At 46.9% G+C, this 25,201-nt stretch overlaps 1 protein-coding gene and 1 pseudogene across 4 annotated transcripts in view, besides 4 other annotated features; one reads left to right on the top strand and one right to left on the bottom strand.

Moving 5' to 3' along the window:
• Positions 1-25,201, top strand: part of ACOX2 (acyl-CoA oxidase 2) — a 32,055-nt gene that overhangs the window by 4,807 nt on the left and 2,047 nt on the right. For all 4 annotated transcript variants that reach the window (NM_003500.4, XM_005265505.2, XM_047449042.1 and 1 more), the window contains 9 exons: positions 572-691; positions 1,018-1,133; positions 1,746-1,918; positions 3,428-3,590; positions 5,728-5,918; positions 7,779-7,958; positions 9,783-9,888; positions 14,961-15,178; positions 23,359-23,491. In NM_003500.4, coding sequence (NP_003491.1) covers positions 572-691; positions 1,018-1,133; positions 1,746-1,918; positions 3,428-3,590; positions 5,728-5,918; positions 7,779-7,958; positions 9,783-9,888; positions 14,961-15,178; positions 23,359-23,491 — 1,400 coding nt within the window. The remainder of the gene's footprint in view (positions 1-571; positions 692-1,017; positions 1,134-1,745; positions 1,919-3,427; positions 3,591-5,727; positions 5,919-7,778; positions 7,959-9,782; positions 9,889-14,960; positions 15,179-23,358; positions 23,492-25,201) is intronic.
• Positions 601-1,102: an enhancer, noted in NCBI's record as "H3K4me1 hESC enhancer chr3:58517009-58517510 (GRCh37/hg19 assembly coordinates)". NCBI's record gives its function as "activates a minimal SCP1, AML or CMV promoter by ChIP-STARR-seq in primed H9 embryonic stem cells {active_cell/tissue: H9 hESC(primed)}" and the evidence as "EXISTENCE:reporter gene assay evidence [ECO:0000049][PMID:30033119]".
• Positions 1,470-1,970: an enhancer, noted in NCBI's record as "H3K4me1 hESC enhancer chr3:58516141-58516641 (GRCh37/hg19 assembly coordinates)". NCBI's record gives its function as "activates a minimal SCP1, AML or CMV promoter by ChIP-STARR-seq in naive H9 embryonic stem cells {active_cell/tissue: H9 hESC(naive)}" and the evidence as "EXISTENCE:reporter gene assay evidence [ECO:0000049][PMID:30033119]".
• Positions 5,329-5,844: an enhancer, noted in NCBI's record as "H3K4me1 hESC enhancer chr3:58512267-58512782 (GRCh37/hg19 assembly coordinates)". NCBI's record gives its function as "activates a minimal SCP1, AML or CMV promoter by ChIP-STARR-seq in naive H9 embryonic stem cells {active_cell/tissue: H9 hESC(naive)}" and the evidence as "EXISTENCE:reporter gene assay evidence [ECO:0000049][PMID:30033119]".
• Positions 11,115-11,632: an enhancer, noted in NCBI's record as "H3K4me1 hESC enhancer chr3:58506479-58506996 (GRCh37/hg19 assembly coordinates)". NCBI's record gives its function as "activates a minimal SCP1, AML or CMV promoter by ChIP-STARR-seq in primed H9 embryonic stem cells {active_cell/tissue: H9 hESC(primed)}" and the evidence as "EXISTENCE:reporter gene assay evidence [ECO:0000049][PMID:30033119]".
• On the bottom strand, positions 20,697-21,074 carry RPL27P9 (ribosomal protein L27 pseudogene 9; annotated as a pseudogene).

Below are 25,201 nucleotides of genomic sequence, written 5' to 3'. Positions count from 1 at the left end.
AGAAGAAAAAGAAAAAAAAAGAGAGAGAGAGATGAGAGAGTGATGACAGAAAGAGAGAGAGAAAATAAATGACCACTGTCAAAAATGAAGACAAAAGAAACCAGCCTTTTAGATCAGACAGACCAGGGTACAGATGAATCCTAGCTCTGCCCCTCCAGGCCAATGACCTTCAGTGTGTCACTCTACTCTCTGAGCCTGTTTCCTTAACTGGAAAATGGGACTCATCATCCTCTCTCCCCTGCAAGAACTGGAAAGCATCTATCACAGGGTCTAGCGCCACCTAGATTTTGATAAATGATAATTATCTGTATTCATTATTATAAGGTTGATGACAGAGTAATTCATTAATAGTTGGGGGGGGCAAAAAAAAAGCTGGATCATTTCACAGTGCCTTTGCCAACGCTGCTAGGTTTGCTTGGTTCTTTGGGGGCAATCCCCTCTCTCTTTGATCAGTGACTTTTCAGGGCCCCAGAGGTACCCATCCAAAACCCCAGCCCCAGGAGGCTGGGTTGGTTGGGAAAAGCAATGCACAGGTCTTCCTGTGACGGGCCGCTACTCTCTCTGCCCTCAGTGGGACGGTCAGCCACCCATGCCCTGGTCCAGGCCCAGCTGATCTGCTCAGGAGCCAGGCGGGGCATGCACGCTTTTATTGTGCCAATCCGGAGTCTTCAGGACCACACCCCACTGCCAGGTAAGCCCATAATGCTCCCTCAAGGAACCCTGCCAGGAGGAGAGCCCAGGTGGCCTCCCTGACCTGGGGCCCCAGAGGGCCACAGGAGTAGCTAAGACATGTCTCCCTTGGGCAGGGAGCGGTCCAGTTGGACAGACTTGGTGCTAACTGGCTAGGTGAACTTGAGCAAGATTTAGCATCTTTCTGACCTCAGCTTGTTCACCTGCAAAATAGGTACAATAATCCCAGTGTCACAGGCTGCTGTGACCTGGAATGTGTGTATGATACCTGCCACATAGCAAGCACTCTCTCAACTGATAGGTGTCCTCATCTCCATCTCCTTCAAGGAATCATCATTGGGGACATCGGACCCAAGATGGACTTTGATCAAACAGACAATGGCTTCCTGCAGCTGAACCATGTGCGGGTCCCCAGGGAGAACATGCTGAGTCGCTTTGCACAGGTTACAGATCTGGGGAGGCCGGGGACTTGTACTTCCTGGAGAGGGGACCTGCGCTTTGTGCAGGCTGGGCCTGGGTCCTCCATAGAGCTTAGTTTGGGCCACATAACCTCCTCCCCCAAGAGAGGCTCTGATATCCCACAGATTGGGGTGAAACCCCTGCTTAGGAGCAGTATGATCTTGGGCACAGAGCCTCAGACCTCTCATGCAGAAATGCTCGTCACATAGGCTGACAGAGCAATCGTGGGGTGGGGTGGCAGCCCCAGGAGAGGATAGGGCTGAGGTGACCTGCATAATATTTACCCACAGTGAGGCCTGACACAGCCAATCGCCCAACAGATACCAGCCAGAATGCCAGCAGGAGTTCTGAAGGTCCCAATTCTGCCAGGCATCACCCCTTTAGTTATGGGTCGTGGGGAGGTCCGGGGTGTCCCAGGAGAGGCACTGTGAAGCAGGGCACTTGGGGAAATGGCCTGGTATTTTAACACTCCAACTCCAGATGCGCCGGTTGAGGGGCGAGGTGCCCTCCATGTGTGGAGCCCCACAGCTCTGGAGAAGCGAGGGCATCCTGGGAAGCCTTGGCCCAGAACTTGTGCCCGTCCTTGTTCCACACAGGTCTTGCCAGATGGCACCTACGTCAAACTCGGTACAGCACAGAGCAACTACCTTCCCATGGTGGTGGTGCGGGTGGAGCTGCTGTCAGGGGAGATCCTCCCTATACTGCAGAAGGCCTGTGTCATCGCCATGCGCTACTCGGTCATCCGCCGCCAATCCCGGCTCCGGCCCAGGCAAGGGGTGCCCAGTGACTGACTACCGCAGATATGCTGCCTCTTGGTCCCACAGTGCCTCCCCCTGACACCACCCTTCTGCCAGAGCCAGAGTGCTGGGAGCAGGCAATGCCCCCCACCACATACACACACACAAACACAAAATCTACCCAGCCTGGCCCCATCTGGGCATGTCAGAGGAGTCTCTCTGGCTGCCTCTAACAGGGCTGACCAGCCGGCCTAACCTGCATCCTCAGTGCCTGGCCCCCATCGGGCTCTATGTGATAGTGTCTTTGGCCCTGTAGCACCAGGTCTGTCTGACTCTGTGTCTGTCCGAGTCCAGCCGTGTTCTGTGCGGCTGTGACGGGTTGGACGGGTCTGGGTCAGCCAGTTGCCAGCTGCATCAGACTATGGCTGGCTGAGTTGATTCTGTCAGGCCGAGCCTAGCAAAATCCAATATCATATCGACTGTGTGTGGCTGAGCTCGTTCTGTCCAGCTGTGCTGTCAGCATCCCACTGGTATGTCTAGTCTGGATCCCTTTTGTTGTAATTGGTTGTGTTGCTACCACTCCCTCCACCCCACAGCACAGAATAGCAAGGGCTGCCTGAACCCTCTGTGAACACTCAGCTCGGCCATTTCACTTCATCCCTCAGCTTCCTCAGCTACAAAATGGGTGTGGCAGAAGTGGCCTTTCAGTGTGGTGTGGAGGGTGAAATGCAGTAAGGCACATTAAGTCCTCAGCCCAGGGTCCTTTCCTCTGGCAAGCTCACAGCGCCCTCGCCTGGCCTGGGCTTCAGAATCTGGGCTGCAAGAGTTCTCTGGAGGACAGGGCCACTGGGAAGAAGGGGCTTCTGCTGCTGTCCTGCCCGAGGCCCATTTATCTGGGCTGCAGAAGTGTCCCCAGGGTGGTTATAAGAAAGATGCGCCAGGTAAGCAGCTGCTGTCTGTAGAGGAGGCTTCTTGTAATCACATCCTCTTTCAATCCAGTTACTGCGAGCTCCTAAATGCCGGACATAGCCTTGGGCACTGAGGACATAGCAGCGGATAAGGCAGACACAGTCCCTTCCTTGGGGTTCCATCAGACCTGAGTTTACATCCTAAGAGTTATTGTTTAGGCTTGACATATTCCTCAGCGCGCGGCAAGTGCACACGGGCAGTGGAAGGTCACAGGTTCAAATCATCACAGGTGCAGGGCCACAACTCTTCACCTGAAATCTTGGGACCAGACGTGTTGGAGTCTCAGAACTTTTCAGGTTTTAGGATAATACTGTGTATATGCTGGAATTCTATAAGCCTCCCTTAACAAGGGGCAGTACCCACCAACAAATGTGTCAGTATTCCTGCAGTGAAATGTGTGGATGTTCATGTTAGATGGGATTTTTAAAGGATTATCAATGGCCTCATGTCAGTTCAAGTTTTGCAATGAGTTCTAAGGAACTGTCTGTTTTTAAGGTTTTTATGGTGTCGGGGATAGGGGAAGGTGGACACAACAGGTAGTGATCTAAATCTTCTGGTTCTTTTCCCTTCAGTGACCCAGAGGCAAAGGTCCTGGACTACCAGACACAACAGCAGAAACTCTTTCCTCAGCTGGCCATCAGTTATGCCTTCCATTTCCTGGCAGTCAGCCTCTTGGAGTTCTTCCAGCACTCCTACACTGCCATTCTGAACCAAGACTTCAGCTTCCTGCCTGAGGTACCTGCTGTCTGCGGAGGGGCAGGCGCTGGCAGGCGCTGGGAGCTAAGATTGTTCCACTCACTGGGGAGCAGCCACAGCCCCATCCCCATGGGCACTCCCCACCCCCACCTCTCCCAGCTTTCAGCATCCCAGGGCGTCTGGGTGAACGGCACCCTGGTATATAAATTTACCCACAACCAGCCCCCAGAGAGCTACAAACATACTAAGAGAAAACAATCACACCTAGCGTAGAGAACACAGGTCCACAACCCCTGATGTGTATTTGAAACCTGAAAAGCTCCGAAAAACAGTTGTTTGGAACTCATTTGGTGGCATAGTTTGACCTGAACTGACCTGATTTATCCCTCTGAGTGTGAATACATTTTGCAGTAAAATTATTAATGTGTTTAATCACTAAAGCTGCCCCAAACCCCACTGGGGCTATTATATAAAATGCACTTTAAATGCCACTTGGCCTCTCTATAATCCAAAAGTTACTCTGATTCCTAAACACATCTGGCTCACAGGTCTCAGGTAAAGCATTGTGGACTTACATATATAGTAAAATTCAGTCTGTCCAGGCTACCATGCTTTATAAGCACTGCTCATTAACCCTTCCAACTGCAATGAGGCACAGAGAGATCAAGGGACATAACTTTCCTCCCAAGGACTTGAAAGCTCCAAAGATAGGCAGGGTCTTCAAGAACCAAAATCTGAAAGCAGTCCTGCTGCCCAGCAGCCTCTGTCCTGTTGGGGCCACTGTAACAAAATACCATAAAGCAGTGGTTTATAAACAACAGAAATTGGCCTGGCATGGTGACTTACACCTGTAATCTCAGCACTTTGGGAGGCCAGGGCAGGAGGATTGCTTGAGCCCAGGAGTTCAAGACAAGACCAGCCTGAGCAAGATGGTGAGACCCCCGTCTCCACAAAAAAAAAAAAAAATGAAAAATTAGTCAGGTGTGGTAGCACACACCTGTAGTCCCAACTACTACTTTGGAGGCTGAGGTGGGAGGATTCCTTGAGCCCAGGAGTGCAAGGATGCAGTGAGCTGTGATTGTGCCACTGCACTCCAGTCCAGCCTGAGCAGCAGAGTGAGACGCTGTCTCAAAAAAGAAAAACAAACAAATTTATTGCTCACAGTTCTGGAGGCTGGGAAGTCCAAGGTCAAGGCACTAGTGCATTTGGTGTCAGGTGAGGGCCTGCTTCCTGAACGGCTTTTTGCTGTGTCCTCAAATGGTAGAAGCAGCCTCTTTCTTTCTTTTTTTTTTTTTTCCTGAGACAGTCTCACTCTGTCACCCAGGCTGGAGTGCAGTGGTACAATCTTGGCTCACTGCAACCTCCGCCTCCCAGGTTCAAGAGATTCTCCTGCCTCAGCCTCCTGTGTAGCTGGGACTACAAGTGCACGCCACCACGCCCAGCTAATTTTTGTATTTTTAGTAGAGACGGGGTTTCACTATGTTGGCCAGGATGGCCTCGATCTCCTGACCTCGTGATCCACCTGCCTTGGCCTCCCAAAGTGCTGGGATTGCAGGTGTGAGCCACCACACCCAGCCAGAAGCAGCCTCTTTCATGAGGGCACTGATCCCATTCATGAGGCCTCCACCCTCATGACTTAATTACCTCCTGAAGGCCCCAACTCCTACTACCATCATAATACCTCCTAATCCTAGTCCTAATCATCAATACCTCCTAATCCTAGCCCTAACCCTTGAGGGTTAGGATTTCTACATAAGAATTTTAGGTGGACACATTCAGACCCTGTCACCCTCCTACAACCCAGTAAGTGGGCTTACAGTGGACACCCATCCTCATAAGCTAGCTTTCTAAAACCCAGGCCAGCAAAATCCGTAACTCCTGGAGGTTTGTGGGCCCAATCCAGGCAGCACCCTCTTCCCAATCCTGGAGACACTGGCCAGGCCAGGTTTTCCTTCACTCTTATGCCCCTACAGCTACATTGCCTAATTGTGTGCCTCTGGGTGAGTCACATAAGCTGAGTACCCGCCTTCTCATTCATAAAGTTGTGAGCAGAGGAAACACTTCTTACCTCAGAGCTGAGCTGGGCATGAGTAGATGCTCAGTAAGTGGTGCACAGGGTTGGTCCCTATGGTGGAGGCCCCCTAACACCGCCCAACCCCCCTCCATGTTCTCACAGCTCCACGCACTGAGCACGGGCATGAAGGCCATGATGTCAGAATTCTGCACCCAGGGAGCTGAGATGTGCCGCAGGGCCTGTGGCGGACATGGCTACTCAAAGCTGAGTGGCCTGCCATCACTGGTCACCAAATTGTCGGCCTCCTGTACCTACGAGGGTGAGAACACAGTGCTCTACCTGCAGGTGGCCAGGTAAGGTCCAGGCTGACCCAGGCCTTTGCCCAAGCCCTTGGGGACCCACCAAGCTTCTGTTGGGTGGAGGGTTCCGTCTGAGGCCCATAAAAAGAGCAGGCTTTGCGAAGTGCTATTTGGGAGCTGTCCAATTCCCCAGTATGACTAACCTATCCACTTCTAGGCCACCATCCTCTCTCACCTCCACCACAGCCTCAGACCCCTCCCTGGTCTCTTGCTTCTATCCTGTCCTGCTTCTCCACAGGCAGCCGGAGGGATCTGTTCAGAGCCTAGGGAGGATCACATCTTTCTCTGGTTTGAAATTCTTCAACGGCTTCCCAGTGCTCATAGGAAAATGACATATTCTATGCTGTGGCCTGCAAGGTCCATGTGACCTGACCCCTGCCTCCCCGTCCATCCTGCTCTCACCACCTCCTGCCTCTGCTCACTTCTTCTTCTTCTTTTTTTTTTTGAGATGGAGTCTCACTGTCACCCAGGCTGGAGTGCAGTGGTGCAATCTCGGCTCACTGCAACCTCTGCCCGCCGGGTTCAAGCAATTCTCCTGCCTTAGCCTCCGCAGTAGCTGGGATTACACACCACCATGCCCATCTAATTTTTGTATTTTTAGTAGAGATGGGGTTTCACCATGTTGGCCAGGCTGCTCTCCAACTCCTGACCTCAGGTGATCCACCTGCCTTAGCCTCCCAAAGTGCTGGGATTACAGGCACAAGCCACCGCACCCAGCCACCTCTGCTCACTTCTGCCGGCCACACACTTCTTTCTGTCCAGGAGGCCTTTGCATTTGATCCCCTCCCACCCAACATGGCCTTGTTTCCTTTGGAGCAGTTTCACAATCTATCATTGTCTCATTTTTTTGTTCACCTTTTTAGCTCTACTCTCCAACTAGATTAGGAGCTCCCTGAGGGCAGGGACTACCCCTACCTTGCTCGCTTTAGCATCGCCTAAGCTTGGTGCAGAGCCTGCACACAGAGGCTCCAAGCAATGGCCAAGTCAGCTTCCTCCACACAGGCGATTTCTTTTCATCCCTCTTAGGTCTGTGGGCCCTGGAGGCCGACAGAGCCTCATCCTCACCTATTCTCAGGTGAACAAACAGGGCAAATGCTTCCCTATGCAAGGAGAAAGAAGTTCACTGGCAAATATGAAAAACAACATTTATTATATTTTTAAAAATATATAACATCCCTTGGTTTTTTTCCAAATTAGAAAAGGAGTACAATAGCACATATTATGTACTCTGCACTGTGCCAAGCACTCTACAAATATCATCTCATTCCATTTCACAAACCCTCAATCAGATGAGAACTGTCCTCCCCACCTAGAGCTAGAGAAACAGAGACTTGGGAGGTGAAGCTTCTTTCATCACACAGGTCTCGGCGAGGCTGTATGGGAATCCAGGGCTGTCTAAGCCCAGAACCTGTAACCACTGGATTATCCTAAAGCAGCAGTTGAGAGTCACCTATAATCCTCCTACTCCTGTTAGCATTCTTGCCTCTATCCTTCTTTTTTCAGCTAAGAAAATTTAATTTCCACCCAGTCACTGTACAAGTCATTATAAATCCCAAAATCACAGTGTTCTGATGGAAAATTCTGTTTGCTCAGATCACAGAAGGGTTTATGTTCAGGATCAGAGAGTGTCTGGCCCAGCTCCACAGGTCCTGGGATATGCCTGACTGAGGGCCTCGAGGCAGGACGGCCCGAGGGGGAACCCTCAGGAGGGAGGCCAGGCAGAGGCCTGGTGACCTGGCTCTCCCACGGGAAGGCTGGAACCTAGCATGAGCTTGCCTGTCTCTGGGAGTGAGGGGTGCTGGGCTGTCTCACAGAGTCTCTGCCCTCTCACCTGCCTCCTCTTCCAACCCCCAGGTTCCTGGTGAAGAGCTACCTGCAGACTCAGATGTCCCCTGGCTCCACGCCACAGAGATCTCTCTCTCCATCTGTCGCATATCTCACCGCACCTGACCTGGCCAGGTGTCCAGCCCAGAGGGCAGCCGACTTCCTCTGCCCGGAGCTCTACACCACGGCCTGGGCACATGTGGCAGTAAGGTAAGCCAGTGCTGAGAAATCAGCCATCCCACCTGGGCACAGGCTCCATGCCACACTAGGGCCTTTGGATTGGTTGGGTGGACATTCGTGGATTCAGTTCTAAAAACCACCCCATGCCTAGCCTCCCCGGTCCTCTCAGTTCCTGCCACCATGGGCAGAGAGAGGGGATGTCCCCCCCATCAGCCATGGACCCCCGTCACTTCCCCATCCTGGTCACAGTAGTAGAAGGACATCACACCTCTGGCCAGTGAGATATTTTTAAAATCTCTAGGGTCCTATGGTGATTTGCAATACAACGAATGTACCCATATGTAAATACTCCAAATGTATTGATATGCAAATACCAATAAATAAAGCAATACTCACTCGTACGTTTGAAATATCCCATAATCTAAAAATAATTTTTGAAAATATGACTACACCACGGGATAGAATTCATTTATTTCCAGGGTCTAGTAGGCTCCAGGGAACATGGACAAAACCAAGGACTCATCCATTCTGTCATTCAACAAATATTGTTCAGTACCTACTATGTGTTAGGAATGAACAAATGTGCCAGGGGCTGGGAATAGAGAGGTCCTGACCAAACACACATACCACCATGGAAAAGATGGAGGTTTAACTACCTAAAAAGAAAACGTTCTGAATGCTGCCCCCAAATTAAAACACCGAAAACAGGCTGGGCATGGTGGCTGACACCAGTAATTCCAGCACTTTGGGAGGTCGAGGTGGGCGGATTGCTTGAGCTCAGGAGTTTGAGACCAGCTTCGGCAACATGGTGAAACCCCACCTCTACCAAAAATACAAAAAATTTTAATAAAAAAATAAAAAGGAAACACCAAAAACAAACTGGAAAAACATATTTTCAGTATATAATAAGAGGTCTTATATCCCAACCTGTGGTCCCAGGGATGGTTAATAGTTATTTCAAGATCACAAGCAACTTGGAACATTCATTTATTTATTCCAAAAATATTTATTAACTGCCTATAATATGGCAGGCACTGTTCTAGGCATTAGGGACCTATCAGTAAATAGGCCTGATAAACACCCCAAACTCATAGAGCTAACATTTCAATTGGGAGATTTGAGGAGGGGAAGATAAGGCTGCTCGAGGTGATTAAAGTGTCATGGTATTTCTCCTTGCTTGAAACTCAGTGTGACATCTGCTTATCTATTCCCTGACAAAGCAAAAAACATATTGCTTAATAAACAGTTTGCTTTACACACAAATTCTAAGGGTCATGGATGGATGGGCAGGGAATAGAAAATAAGAGGGGATTAAAGGTTATTTAATGACTAATTTAGTGGTTTGCAGGACAAAGGTTGGTTTTCTCTTTTTGTTTTTAGGTCCCTTGGGTAGAACCTGCAGCAGGCTAGGTGACCGACGGGCCTCTCTAGCCTTTACAGAAAAACCATTCTCCTTGCTCAGGCCACAGGACGTCAGTCAACAAAAAGGCCTGAACATACTGGTGTGAGGCTGGAATCTGCATTAGAAATAGGGGACAGCTCCTGGCCTGTGGCCCTGAGGCTTTATAACATGGCGATTAACAACAAGTCAAAATCCTGGCTCCACTCCTTACTAGCTGTGTGACCCTGGACAAATTGGTTAACCTCTCTGGGACTCAGTTTTCCCCATTGCAAACTGGGGGGTGCCTGCCCTTAAAAGAGTTAAAAAGATAATAAATATCAATCATTTAGCTTTATGGCACATAAGTGGTCAATAAACAGGCATTATTTCTACTTCTGAGGGACCACAGGAAGCCCATCAGTTGTCTTTTCCACTCAGTCAGGAAGCTGAACCTTTTTTGCTTTGGCTTTCAGGCTCATAAAGGACTCAGTGCAGCATTTACAGACCCTGACGCAATCCGGAGCTGACCAGCACGAGGCTTGGAACCAGACCACTGTCATACACCTCCAGGCTGCTAAGGTGAGCGCCTGCCAGCTGAAGCTGAAAGGGATCCATTTTGCTTCCCAGGCAGGCTACCCTGCTGGGAAAATCCGGGCTCTGCCATTATTCCCCAACTCTGCTTCAGTGGCGGCTGCCCTCATTTCACTTCCAAGGCTTTAGTCCAGGGTATTTTAATTAAAGGACTTAACTCCAAAGCAATCTTGCTGGCAGCTCTTAGGGGAAAAGGTAATGAGGCAGTGTTATTGGATTTGCTTCAGGTTGTTCAAATATTTCCTCCCAGATAGAAAAGCAGGTCAAGTCTCCCCTTAGCCCCACAGGCAATCCTTGGATGTCTGATTCCATTTCCACTCGTTTTGTGTTTCTGCATAATTCACAGTCGGTCGGCAAATATTTGAGCACCCACTCTGCCCTGGGCACTGACCTGGGTGCTCAACAGTGAAGCCACTGCCCATGCACGGCTACAATCAAGGAAGCACCATGACAGGGAAATACAGGCTGCTATGGAATCCCAGAGCAGGTACACTTCTGCCCACCTGGAGGAGTCAGAAAGGCTTCCCAAAAGAAGTGGCATATCAGCTAAGACTTCAAGGATAAGCTGAAATTAGCCAGCTAAAGGGTGGGGTGGCAGCTTTGGAGAGAAAAGTTTCCAGGCAAAGGGAGCTGCGCGTGCAAAAGGAAGCAGCAAGAAGGATCCTGGTGTGCTTGGGAGGAAGTGCAAATCTCCCAAGGAGGACCTAAGGAGAAGGACTGAGACTAGGGGAGAAGGAGAGACAGGCAAGGCCTCTGACCTTTTGCACCACTGTGAAAAGTTGGGGTTTTGTTTTCATTGCAATGCCTTTGCTGAGTTTGTTTGGAGGTGGGGTAAAGTGATCAGTTTCATTCTAGAAGAATCATGCAGGTTGCCCAGGATGGAATGAAAGGGAGCAAGTTAGAAAGGAGCAAGTCTGAACCGGGACTGAGGGTGGTCCTGACCATGAGCATGGCAGAAGGCCTGGAGACAAGTGGGTAGATCAGAGATGCTAAGGGGGAAGAAGGCAGGGACAGGCCTCAGAGTGCTGGGGTGGGAAAGAGGTAAGAACAACTCCTGAGTTCTAGCTTAGGCAGCTGGGACTCTGGCACCGCCAATAACTGGAAAACTAAAGTGATCACGCCAATCCTCAGGCCTCAGACCCAGAAAATGGCAGCCTTGGAACAGGAGAGCCCTGAAGGGCTGCAGAGGCCCTCGTGGGACAGGGCTGGTCAGGCAGGCTGGACGTTGAGCACCACCACGTGACCCACCACCTCCACCACACCACACGTGATGGGATTACCTCTGCAGCCCTCAGTTCTGCTCAGCCTACAGCAGGGGCACCCCCTGCTGTGCTAACTGTCCTGTCAACACAGAGGGTGAGCCAAGGCTTCCTGCTTTCACTGGATCACCAAAACAGAAACCACAGCCACCCATTATCCACTCATTCATTTTCCAAACCTATGGCCTGCCTTCAAATGGACCAGATGCTGCTTGCCAGGGTTACTTCATTTAATCCACACAGCCCTGGGAGGGAGACTGACATTATTTCCACTTCAAGGGTGAGGAAAGAGAACTCAGGACTTAGGTCCCAGAGGTAGGAAATAGCTGAGTCCAGATGCTTTCCCTTCCCACACCACTGAGGGTGTGATGAGTGACTGAGGTGAGCAACAAATTCTGGGGGGATGGAGGGTGACAGCCAGCCAGCCTGCGGGGGAAGAACACGTCCCTGACAGCTTCCTGGGGAGGTGGTGCCCCAGCTGAGTCTCCAAGGTCATAATGGATAGGGCTTTCTGTACTCTCTGTGCTTTGTGGGGTTATTTAGTCTACAGAAAGCTTCAGCACCCAACTGGGCCCCATCTAGAAACCATAAATGTGCAGGTAGAGATAACTGCAACTTGAGGGAAGAGGGGATGATACTGCCAGAAGAGTAGACAAGGGGGAGCCACGGGCTAAATTCTGGTCCCAGCTCTGTGTGACCTCAAGCAGCCCCTTCCCTCTCTGGGCTTTAACTTCCCTGTCTGTAGACAAAGGGGCATGGAAGAGCCCTTTAGGCTCTGTCAGGCCGTGGTCCTATAATTCAGACTCTGACCAGAAGAGATGTCAGTCTCCAGGACCATGGGAACAAATGCTGGCCTCATTATAATCCAGCCTCAGTCTCCTGTGGCTTTGGCCACACAGGGTTAGGAATACAGCCCTGGTGTGGATCTCACTGCTACCACTTCCTAGCCATGACCTTGGGCAAAAAACTTAATCTTTCAGAGCCTCAGTCTCTTCGTCTGCAAGATAGAGCTAATAACAGTACCTACTTTGTAGGATTCTAATAAAGATTAAATAAGTAAAACTTAGAGAGGCAGCTAGCACCCCCACCCCCAAATTAGACAGGAGGCAAGATTTAAACCAACACACACAATGTAAATAATGTTCACTGTGCTCAGAGCGTGGGGCCAAGGTTCAGCTCAGCCCTTCCCCAAAGTGTAGAGGTCACCTCTGTCTCTGATCCTCATCCTGCTTTTTAAGGCCCAGGCCCCTGGGCAGCTCTCCATCACTCCACTCCTCAACTCAGAGCCTTGAGCATTTGAGGATGTGGCTCTCAGATTAGGACAGGAAAAGGAGTGCGGGTCCGCAGTTCTGCCAAGCTGGACCCAGTCTGAGCAACAAAGGCTACTGGAGCCAGCAGAGGCAACACAGCACATCTGCTCACCTTCCACAGCCAAATGCTGCAAGCCCAGCATGGCTGTGAGCACACCATGTCTGAATGGCAAAGTGGAGTTGTCAGCACCTGTGTGAGGGCCCCCTAGGAAACACAAGTTCTTTCCAAGTGAGAAAGCGGATCGGGTCACTGCCCAGCTGAAGACTCCCAGTCCCACAGAGCAAATTCTGACCATGTTATTCACAGCCCTTCACTGACCTGGGCCCCAGGTATGAGTCCACCCTAACCTCCATGGTTCCCCATCATCACCTCATTATACCACCACACTTCAGCCTCATTAAATTGCCTGCAGCTTCCTGAAAGTACAGCCTTTTGCACATAAAGCTCCCCCTGCCTGGAATGACCTTTCCCCCAACTCATGTCCGCCTGGGTGAACTCCTTTGAACCCCCAAGGCACTCTTTTTTTTTCTATGATAGAGTCTCACTCCACCACCCAGGCTGGAGTGCAGTGGCACGGTCTCAGCTCACTGCAACCTCCACCTCCCAGGTTCAAGCAATTCTTGTGCCTCAGCCTTCCGAGTAGCCAGAATTACAGGTGTGCACCACCACACCTGGCTAATTTTTGTATTTTTTGTAGAGACAGGGTTTTGCCATGTTGGCCAGGCTGGTCTCGAACTCCTGACCTCAAGTGGTCCGCCCACCTCAACTTCCCAAAGTGCTGGGATATAGGTGTGAGCCACCGCGCCCAGCCGAACCCCCAAGACACTCTAAGTCTTGCTACTGAAAATCACTACAGCAGCATGGGCATCACAGGGGACCTTGTTAGAAATGCACAGTCTCAGGCCCTGCCCTGGAATCTGCATTTTGACAAGATCCCCAGGTGATCTATATGCACATAAAAAACTGAGAGGCAGGGCGGGGTCCAGAGGCTCACGCCTGTAATCCCAGCACTTTGGGAAGCCAAGGAAGGAGGATCACTTGAGCTCAGGAGTTCGAGACCAGTGTAGGCAACATAGCAAGACCCTCGTCTCTACTAAAAATACAAAAAAAAAAAAAAGCCGGGCATGGTGGTGTGTGCCTGTGGTCCCAACTACTCAGGAGGCTGAGGTGGGAGAATCACTTGAGCCCAGTGGGACAGAGGTTGCAGCAAGGCAAGATTGCAACACTGCTCTTCAGCCTGGGTGACAGAGTGAGATTCTATCTCAGAAAAAACAATTAAGAAGCACTGCTTTATACTTTCTCTCTTCCTTGCTCTCCCTTATAGAACTCATATATCCTACCTGACAAAATAATTGTGTGTGCTTGTCTTGACGAGATGCGGACTGTTCAAAATATGTTACAACCAGTAGGACAAGGCACCAACCAATCAAAATGGACTTTAGCCCTAGGGGAAGCAAGGTCCTGAAGGCCTCCTGCTGAGTCAAACATTAATCCTTTAGTTGCTGGGCTGTGGAGAGAAGGAGGGGGTCTTCGGGAAGGAGTCCATCTGGCAGAAGGGGCTCTCACAGGGTTGATGGCAGTGGACAGTTGCCAGCTGGTATTAAAGTATTATTTTTACAACTGCCACAGCCAGACCATAACATATGGGCTAAATAACAGCACTGCTTACCTTAAGGAGTTTATACTCTAGCTGGAATAAATTTCATATATATCTTGAAACTTTCTCACCCCATGGTGCACACATGTGCACGCACACACACACACCACTGACTTGAACACAGCAGACAACAAATAGCTATTTTCTTTTCTTTTCTTTTTTTTTTTTTTTTTTTTTTTTTGAGATGGAGTTTTGCTCTTATTGCCCAGGCTGGAGTGCAATGGCATGATTTTGGCTCACTGCAACCTCCGCCTCCTGGGTTCAAATGATTCTCCTGCCTCAGCCTCCCAAGTAGCTGGGATTACAGGCATGCACCACCATGCCTGGCTAATTTTTGCATTTTTAGTAGAGACAGGGTTTCACCATGTTGGTCATACTGGTCTCAAACTCCTGACCTCAGGTGATCCACCCACCTTGGCCTCCCAAAGTGCTGGGATTACAGGCGTGAGCCACCGCGCCCAGCCTTAAAATAGCTAATTTCTTAAGAACAGTGGTGCTGTCCTCCACCTTCCCCAGGCCAGCCTCCAATATGCCTGTATTCTTTCCTTCTACTTTCCAACCTACTTGAAACCGCTCCAAGCAAAAGAAAACAAGGGCCATGTTTCAAAGCCCACCAGTCCCCCCCGTCCCCGCTCCCCCCCCCAACACACACATATACACAACATCAAAACGCCTTGATCAGACCCAGAGCTAGGAGAAAAGGCAGCTGCTCATCAGCCTGCTGGGAAGCACATCATGCCTCAAGTTTATTCCAGCCATCTTGCCATGCTTCCAGGGTGACTTCTGGAGTAGAAAACCAGAAATCAGGAGAACATATCTTTGTGTCTTTGTAGGTGCACTGCTACTATGTCACTGTGAAGGGTTTTACAGAAGCTCTGGAGAAACTAGAAAATGAACCAGCGATTCAGCAGGTGCTCAAGCGCCTCTGTGACCTCCATGCCATACATGGAATCTTGACTAACTCGGGTGACTTTCTCCATGACGCCTTCCTGTCTGGTGCCCAAGTGGACATGGCAAGAACAGCCTACCTGGACCTGCTCCGCCTGATCCGGTGAGTGGCAGAGACTTCAAACCATGTTAGTCTTCAGAGAATAACCCTACCCCTTGTTCACAGGTCACTTCCAACTCCAAAACCTTGCTAATGGGCAGAGCAGCAACAGCCCTGGAGAGGTCTACACCCTATTATCATTACACCAGCATAAAGCATTATGAATTAATGAAAGAAAAAAATGGGAAAAAATGGGAAAAATACTGAAGAATAAATGAGCTACCTCAGTTGAACTCTTTACATTGTCAAGGAAATAGGAATAGTATCTAAGGAAAATCAATAAAATGAAGCATGCTACATATGAATGATATGTGCTAATGTGCTAATAATAGTCTCAACCATAGCTAACTTTTTTTTTCTTTTCTTTTTTTTTAGACAGGGACTGGCTCTGTCACCCAGGCTAAAGTGCAGTAGTACAATCTTGTCTCATTGCAACCTCTGCCTCTGGGTTCAAGTGATTCTCCTGCTTCAGCCTCCCAAGTAGCTGGGATTACAGGTGCCCACCCCCATGCCCAGCTAATTTTTGTATTTTTAGTAGAGATGGGGTTTCGCCATGTTGACCAGGCTGGTCTCCAACTCCTGACCTCAAGTGATCCACCTGCCTTGGCCTCCCAAAGTGCTGGGATTACAGGTGTGAACCAACGTGCCCAGGCATAGCCAACCTTTAAAGAGCACTTATGTGACAGGCCCTGTGCCAAAAGCTTTTACATACATCTCATTTAATCCTTACAGCCCTTTGAAATGGGTACTATTAATCTCCTCATTTTATTGGAAAGGAAATTCAGGCTGATGGGAGTTGCCCAGTATCACACAATCAGCCAGAGGAGGGGCTGGGTACAATCTCAGGTCTGGCCCCTGGGCATGAGCTCTTAACCTGTATGTTAAGGTTAAGGTTGAGGTATTATATACTTTGAACACATCCTAGTCTTTGTTGAATGTGCTTAAGCAAATTCTTACCAAGTTTAGTAAACTTACCTTAATCTTCCCTCAGCTTCAAGATGAAAAATTTTTTTTAACTCTGTAATTCATATATTGATTTATAAAATAATAACACAAAGTTTTTTAATGCAGCATTAATGCAGTGCCATGTATGGTGAATGAAATACTAATGCAGTGCTTTCACACTATTATTCTATAATCTAAACGATTGCTTTAAAAACATATCAAAACCAAAGCCCAACCTGATCAGAGTCCTAGAAAAAAATAGAAATAAAAACAATAAAGAAAAAAAAAAGCCTGGGCAACATGGCAAAACCCCACCTCTACAAAAAATGAATCAGGCACACACCTGTAGTCTCAGCTACTCGGGAGGCTGAGGTAGGAGGATTGATTGATCCCAGGAGGTTGAGGTTGCAGTAAGCTATGATCACACCACTGCACTCCAGCCTGGGCAACAAAGTGAGACCTTGTCTCAAAAAAAGGAAAGAAAAGAAAACATTGCAAATTATTTACCATTGTCCATAAGATTAAAAAAAATGGACTAATTTGAGAATATAATCTTTTTGAGACCTCACTGGGCAGAAAATATGATACCTATTGCATGGGGTTAGAGGCGACTCCTAGAATCTCCAACAATTCTTATATCAACAAGACTAATAAAAAGAAAAAAAGAGGCTGGGAGCAGTGGCTCACACCTGTAATCCCAGCACTTTGGGAGGCCAAGGTGGGAGGATCACTTGAGGCAAAGAGTTTAAGACTAGCTTGGGCAACATAGTGAGACCCTGTCTCTAAAAGATTTGTAATTTTTTAAAAATAAGATTTTAAGACAGGTTTTTAAAAAACTAGACCAAATTCCTTTTATTTCTCACAATATGCAATATGTTACATGCCCTTTATGACTACTCATAGCATGTAACAGATAGCTGGTGGTCAAAAAAATGTTTGTTCAGGCCAGGCGCGGTGGCTAATACCTGCAATCCCAGCACTTTGGGAGGCCAAGGTGGGTGGATCACCTGAGGTCAGGAGTTCGAGGCCAGCCTGGCCAACATGGTGAAACCCGGTCTCTACTAAAAATACAAAAATTAGCTGGGTGTGATGGCACATGCCTGTAATCCCAGTTACTTGGGAGGCTGAGGCAGAATCGCTTGAACCCGGGAGGCAGAGGCTGCCGTGAGCCAAGATCGTACCACTGCACTCCAGCCTTGGCGACAAGAGTGAGACTCCATCTCAAGAAAAAAAAAAAAGTTTGTTCAGTTAAATCATCAAAAACTGTCAAAAATACGTTTGACACAATTATGTCCCAGGTATAAAACTTTCCCTAATACAGGGAATCCAGTGGTGAAAACTATTAAGAGCATAATTAAGTACTGCACAGTTCAAGCCCAAGGGTGTCCATCTTTTTGAAACTCTCAGAATTTAAAAGCACTTGAAAATAATGTTCTAGCCCCGGTTGTCAGTGATGATAAAATACAAAAGATTACCTTAACACCCTATAAGCATGTTTTTTAAATTTGCAAACAGCATTTCTAAGTGCTTGCCTTGGCTCCAGAAACTTACAATTCAAGACAAGACAGACAGCCCAGATGCAATCTGCCAACTTACTCATGCGTCAAACCCAGAAATTGATTTACTTCCATGATGGTTCCTAAGTAGCCTTACTACTGCAGGGTAATTAGGCACATAACAGATTCTATGCATATCACTGTTTGGTGTCACAGTTCCCTGCCTTGATTAGTCACTATCTCCCTAAGATTTCTGAGATGAAAACTGAAGGGCGGCATAGTATGCTATGGATGCCAAGAACAAGCTCTCTGCAATGTTAACTGACCCAAACAGTTTTTAGTTGTTTAAGCGGTCATAAAACCTCAGCTGGGGGGACTTCCAGGTAAAGATGACAGATTAAACTATGCATTTACTTCTGTTCTTTCCCGAAACCCTACTAAAACATCAGTGAATGGACTGAAATTTTTTAAAAGGCATAAACCCACAAAGAGAAAGAGATGTTGTCTCTGTGTTGTCCAGGCTGCTCTTGAACTCCTGGGCTCAAGGGATCCTCCTACCTTAGCCTCCCAAAGTGCTGGGATTACATGCATGAGCTAACACACCTAGCCTCTGTGAGTAATTTTAAGACTTTCCTTGACTCTGCCCTGGCAGAAGGGTAAATAGAGGATCTGTGGACTAGGGAGCATCAGGTATAGTTGATAATAAGGCTACCCTTCAGAAAACACAGGGTTCTTTATAGGCCAAATACTGACACCTCCCTCCCCCAGACCTTTTTTCCCACTGGTTCCTAAAAAACTGGCAGCCAGACTAGTACCCTGCAAGAAGATGGTAAGATGATCCTTCTCTGGAGAATCTGACCAGCCCAAGGAGAAGGAGCTAAAGACACTGACATCAGAGTCCCCCAATGGTCCACCCAATTCACTCCATAGTGAACCCCATACTAGCAAGCATAGCCACAAGTTTGTAATCAGCTAGTTAAGGCTTTGCTTTTAGCTATGATCAGACACTCAGGGATCACCAAACACCTGAAGAATGCCCCTAACATAAAAGATGGAGACCAAAACAAGCAAGAACAAGGCAATTCAGAGGACATAAGAGAATCCACAGGGAGAAGAAAACTTAAAAAAAAAAAACAGTGATATCTCAGAGTTAAGAGACGGTATTGCAACCACAAAATAAAAACCTGAATGCCATTATTTAAAACTAATATTCAGAGAACCTAAAAAAAGAGCTCCTTGAAGTTAAAAAATGATAATGGAAATGAAAAACTCAATGTAAGGACTGGAAGATAAAGTTGCAGAAATCTCACAGCAAGAAAGCAAAAAGACAAAAAAAAGGAGGACTTTTAAAAAGTAAGAGGACCAATCTTAGCTGTTCATCATCTGAAGAACAGGTCTAGAAAGAAGACAGAGAAAACAGAAGGAAGCGAATCATTAATAAAATAATTCAAGAAAACATTCCTCAAATGAAGGATACGAGTTTCAGATGAAAAAGGGTCACAGATGCCTACAGACTAGAGGAGAGGAGACAGGCACACACATGCACAAAATAAGTCACACTGTATACCATGTGAAATGGTAATACCTACCATGAAAGAAAGGATAGCAGGAAGTGGAGGAAAGAATGCTGGGGGTCAGTAGGGAGGAGGGGGAGCTACAATTTTAAGTAGGCCAGAGAAGGCCTCCCTGGGAGGGTGACATTTAAGGAAAGACCTGAGGAGAAGGTAGGGAGAAGCTGTTGTGGCTGCTAGGGAAAGAGCATTACAGGCAGAACATAAGTACAGTCATGCATCACTTAATGACTGGAGGATCCGTTCTGAGAAATGTGTCTTCAGGTGAGTCTGTCATCATGTGAACATCACAGAGTGTACTTACACAAGCCTAAATGGTATAGCCTATTGCTCGTACAGTCACACCTGCAAAGCATGTTGCTGTTCTGAATACTGCAGCCAATTCTAACATCAATCACTAAGCAATAGGAATTTTTCAGCTCTATCATAATGTCATGGGACCGCCATCATATACATGGTCCATCATTGACCAAAACATCATTATGCAGTGCATGACAGTACAAATGTTGGAGACCAGAGTGTGCTTGGCATATCCATCCAGAGAACACAGAAGAGGCCACAGGGGCAGGAATGGCATGACTGCGGTGGAAAATGACGGCAGAGGGCAGAGAGTTAAGGGAGTACAGTAGGGGGTGGGAAGAGACGGTAAGGTAGATCATTGCAAAGACTTAAGAGAATGCGAGGGTTTTGAGCATGGGATAGAATGGGAGGGTTTTGAGCATTGGATAGACACAACCTAAAAGAATCTGATGTGTATTTTTAAAGGCTTGCTCCAGCTGCCATATTAAGAACTAAGAGTGAAAAGCAGGGAGATCAGCTGGATCGCTAATGCAATCATCCAAGTGAGTGATGATAGTGGATTGGAGCAGTGACAGTGCTGGAGGTGGTGGGAATGGTTGAAGTTTGAATATATCTTGAAGGCAGAACAGGATTTGCTGACAGATTAGATGTATGGTGAGAAAGAAGAGAAGAATCAAGGTTTTTGGTCAGAAGGGCAGAGCTGCCATTTACTATAAATGCGGAAGACTACAGGAGGCCCAGGTTTGGGCAGGGTGGACGGGAAGGAGTTTGGGTTCAGATACATTACTTTTGAAGAGCCTATCAGAAATCCAAGTACAGATGTTGGTAAGCAGGGGACACTGGAGGGATAAGTTTGGAAGTCATTGGCGTATGGTTGATATTTAAAGCCTTGAGAAGAACATCACAAGGAGTGCATGAAGAGAAGAGGTCCAAGTACTCAGTCTTGAGACCCTCGCAAGATAATAAGGAAGTAACCGTGGCAAGAGCTATTTCTGTGGAGTGGTGGGAGTAAAAACATGAACAGATCCAGTTCAGGAGAGAATGTGAAAATTGGAAATCATAAGCATAAACACACATAACACTTTCAGGGAGTTTTGTCCTAAACGGGAGCCAAGGTGATGGAGAAGGAAATAGAGTCAAAAGCTTGTGTTTAAGATGGGAGAAATGATTGTCTGTTTGTATACTGATGGAAATGATCCAGTAGAGAGGGGATTTTTTTTTCTTGTACCTTTCTTTGAACTTGATCTTGGCCTCCCATCACGCCTTGTGTTTAAGAGCAAGGTCTTTGAGGAGATCCTTGTTGATGACAGTTTGTCCAAGAGGATATCTACAGAGTACCTTGTGGGCATGAGGTGATTGCAGTTATAAGCTTTTGCAAAAGACTTGATCCTTGACCTCTTGGAGATCTTCTTGCCTATGGCAGCTGTCACTTTGTGAGGATAGCAGTCAATTCCAGCTACCAAAGCATGACTGTAAGAATGGACTGAGGTGCCATCATCAATGTCCTTCATGATAATGGCTTTGCGTCCAGAGTAGCATCCAGCCAGGACCAGCACCACTTTCCCACTTTTTCATGAACTTGCCCATTTTGACAGCAACCAGCCAGGCCTACAGTAAAAAGAAAGAAGGGCATTTCCACTAACTTTTTACCCCTGAGGGGAATTTTGATGTTGTTGGAGAAAGGCAGGAGAATGTTGTTCTCCAGTATGCAAGAGGAAAAGACATCTAGTAGACAAGGAGGGACTGAGGCCTGAGCTGAGAGCCTGAAGAGAGAAAGCATTGTATGTATAAATGCAAGGGTGGGAACTTACACAGATTCTCTTACTGCTTCCACTTCATTAGTGAAATACGATGTAAAGCCATCCAGGCAAAAGAGATGGGAAAGGTGGATAGTGTCAATCTGAGGATCAAAGAGATGGTAAGAAATAACTGCCTAAGAAAAAGAAACAGTAAATGAACAATGAGTAAATATAGCAATGTAATACGATTGCTGAGCTGCAATCAGGGCCCACTTGAGCCCTTATTACACCAGTTATGATTGTTTTTTCCAGCCATGTATAGTTACAAAGGTGGTGGCACAAAGTGGGTGGAAAACTAAAGACAAAGAGGTATGCGTTTTGCTAAACAGGTATGACAAAGCAAGAAAAATCGTTGAGTGTGTGTGTGTGTGTGTGTGTGTGTGTGTGTATATATATATATATATATATATATATATATATATATATATATATATTTTTTTTTTTTTTTTTTTTTTTTTTTTTTTTGAGCGGGAGTCTTGCTCTGTTGCCCAAGCTGGAGTGCAGCGGCACGATCTCAGCTCACTGCAACCTCTGACTCCCAGGTTCAAGCGATTCTCCCACCTCAGCCTTCCCAGTAGCTGAGACTACAGGCACACACCACCACACCTGGCTAATTTTTGTATTTTTAGTAGAGACAGGGTTCCGCCATGTTGGCCAGGCTGGTCTCGAACTCCTGACCTCAGCTGATCCATCTGCCTCGGTCTCCCAAATTGCTGGGATTACAGGTGTGAGCCATCGCGCCCGGCCTGTTGAATGTATTTTTGAGAGAGTAATAGAACATGGAATTTCAGCTGGATAAGGAATGAAGTGAGACCACAAGGGGGCAGGGGGACATTAAATTGGCGGTAGGGCTCATATGATGTTGGGGATCATCAAGAAACGATTACATTGGATACAGTATCCCAGTTACCACCAATGCTTTAATGACACACAATCATCATAATGTCAATACTAAATATTGGTCTGGCCAAAATTATAACTATATTGGGAGGCCCGAAGGCCAGGAGGAAGAAGAATGGGAACAAGGGGAGGTAGGAGTGAAGAGAGGGGGTGATAAATATAAATCTTTACCTTTTGAATGAAGATTCAACAGATAATATCTCAAACTGAACCATCAACAAGCAGCAATATAAACAAGATATTTTGACATTCAGATAAATACTGAAATATCAACTAAAAGATTGAAATTGCCAGCCGGGCATGGTGGCTCATGCTTGTAATCTCAGCACTTTGGGAGGCCGAGGTGGGCAGATCACCTGAGGTCAGGAATTCGAGACCAACCTGGCCAACATGGTGAAACCCCATCTCTACTAAAAATACAAAAATCAGCCAGGCATGGTGGCAGGCGCCTGTAATCCCAACTACTCGGGAGGTTGAGGCAGGAGAATGGCTTGAGCCCGGGAGGTAGAGGTTGCAGTGAGCTGAGATTGTGCCACTGCACTCCAGCCTGGGCAACTGAGACTCTGTATCAAAAAAAAAAAAAAAAACAGATTGAAATTGCTTCTGAGGAAAAAGAAGTGGAAATCAGACAGGTATATGCTCGTTATTTATTTATTTATTTATTTATTTTGGGACAGGAGTCTCACTCTGTCGCCCAGGCTGGAGTGCAGTGGCATAATCTCCACTCACTGCAACCTCCGCCTCCTAGGTTCAAGTGATTCTCCTGCCTCAGCCTCCCAAGTAGTTGGGACTACAGGCATGTGCCACCATACCTGGCTAATTTTTTGTATTTTTAGTAGAGACGGGGTTTCACCATGTTACCCAGGATGGTCTTGATCTCCTGACCTCATGATCCACCTACTTCGGCCTCCCAAAGTGCCGGGATTACAGGCGTGAGCCACCACGCATGGCCGGATATGCTGTTTTTTTAAACAAGCCTTACGGAACCCTTTGACTCATTATACTATGCACATATAACTGATTAAAAAATAAAAACTAAAAAAAAATGCTGAATTGTTTGAAAAGCGAATAATCATGCAACCTCTAATTAGGTATTGTTATTCACCATCCAAGACTAGTTTGATTCATAAGAGCAATCTAAAATACTTACAAACTCTTGTTTCCTATCCCAGGAAGGATGCCATCCTGTTAACTGATGCTTTTGACTTCACCGATCAGTGTTTAAATTCAGCACTTGGCTGTTATGATGGAAACGTCTACGAACGCCTGTTCCAGTGGGCTCAGAAGTCACCAACCAATACTCAGGTAGTTGAGTGGAACACATTATAAATTATGTAAGAAAGCAGAGAACAGGCAGTGAATACACCTTCATGTTCTCCCATTTTAATTGATTCCCGTTAGGTTGGCAATCACTTGGCGTAGCACGTCTGTTTAAAATATTCTTAGAGAACACATAAAAGAAACAAGGAGTGGCAGTATGGCCTGGCAGGAACTCTGAGCCTGGATTGTAATCAGCAAAATGCACTGCTCGGAACTTAGTAAAGGGAATTAAGAGGAAGGCCCAAGCTCTAAATCATGGCTTGACAGACCCAAGTGCATACACACAGAGTGGTAAACCGGCTTTTAAGTAACAAAAAGAAGGAGATAAATCACTGCGGTAATTGAACCACCTTATTTTCAGCCTTTTAACTTTCAGTTTTGTGTAGATAAAAGTAGGTATTCAGAAGTGGTAGGAAGCTTGAGGGATGTCTCTCTTAGACCTGATTGCCTGCTAGAGATGATACCCTCTCCTCTTCACTCTAAGGAATACAATCCAAGGAGCAAAGAAAGCTGCTGCACTGCCATTAGTAGCCCAGGAAAGCCATATGAGTGACAATTAAAAGGGTCATGCCAAAAAAATCCCCAGCCATCCTAGGAGAGCACACCAGAACTCTACATCATTAACAGCGAGAAGACGGGGAGGACTCATAAGGTCCCAACACTCAAGGGCCAGGGTATGCTCGCAGCTCTATGCTTATGAGCCTCTTTGGGAAAAGTTGTAAATGTCAATGAATATGTTAACAGGAGTGAGGTAATAAACCCTGTAGTTAGAATATGAGGAACCAATATTTAATAGCAGATTTTACATAGATGATCAAAACAAAAAGTCTATAGGTACAAAACAGATTATTTTAAATTTTATAGTGCAAATACATGATTCAGGTGGTGAAGCTTTCTTTTTTACCTCTTTGGTCCAATTTCAGAAAAGGTGTCTTAACACCACATCAAATTGGCAACTCTCAGGCTTTCATTCACACCCAGCATGGTGTTAGACTTGCTCTTAACAATTTGCAGCCTGTCATACCACATGGCTTAATTTAACATGATTATCTAAAGTTACAACACAACTAACCCATCTTGGTCACTCCCTGTCCCCAGAAAGACATCCTTTTAACTCAAGGAAATATAAACAATATATGTTCACTGCTTTAGTACAGTTAACCTACTTCCAGTGTGTTACTTTTTCTAATGATTAGATCTAACATTTCAATCTTGGCATAAAAATACAGCAGTCCTCCCACTCCAGACTAGCTTCCATGGTCTAAAGATAAATGTGTGCCCTTTGGTGCTCCACAGAAAAACCCGCCCTGCTATAACACCTGTCAGAAATGCTGACATATATAGCCCAAACCTGTTATACTGGCAACACAGGAAACATTCTGGTTTCTCTAGAGAGAATGGAGGGGGCTTTCTTGTGTTTTAGTTGGTTTTAATATTTATTTTAAAAGACTTTAATCTGGATACTACATGAGAACATGTTTATCTAAACGAGAGGAATGACTGACCCAGAGGGTCAACACATTTGGGAAAACATTGATGCACTTCATCCCATTCACTTCTATCTCCTTCCACTTGACTGTGAACAACGAAGGAGTCTTCACCTTCCCAACTCCAAGATCTATCACAGAGTAGACACTCCACGTCTATGGAATAAATGAACATGGTTTTACAACCTGCATAGTGAGACAAAGGAAT

The sequence above is a fragment of the Homo sapiens genome, chromosome 3 (genome assembly GCF_000001405.40).
Source record: "Homo sapiens chromosome 3, GRCh38.p14 Primary Assembly".
NCBI lineage: Eukaryota > Metazoa > Chordata > Mammalia > Primates > Hominidae > Homo > Homo sapiens.
This window is presented reverse-complemented; position numbering and strand designations above follow the sequence as displayed.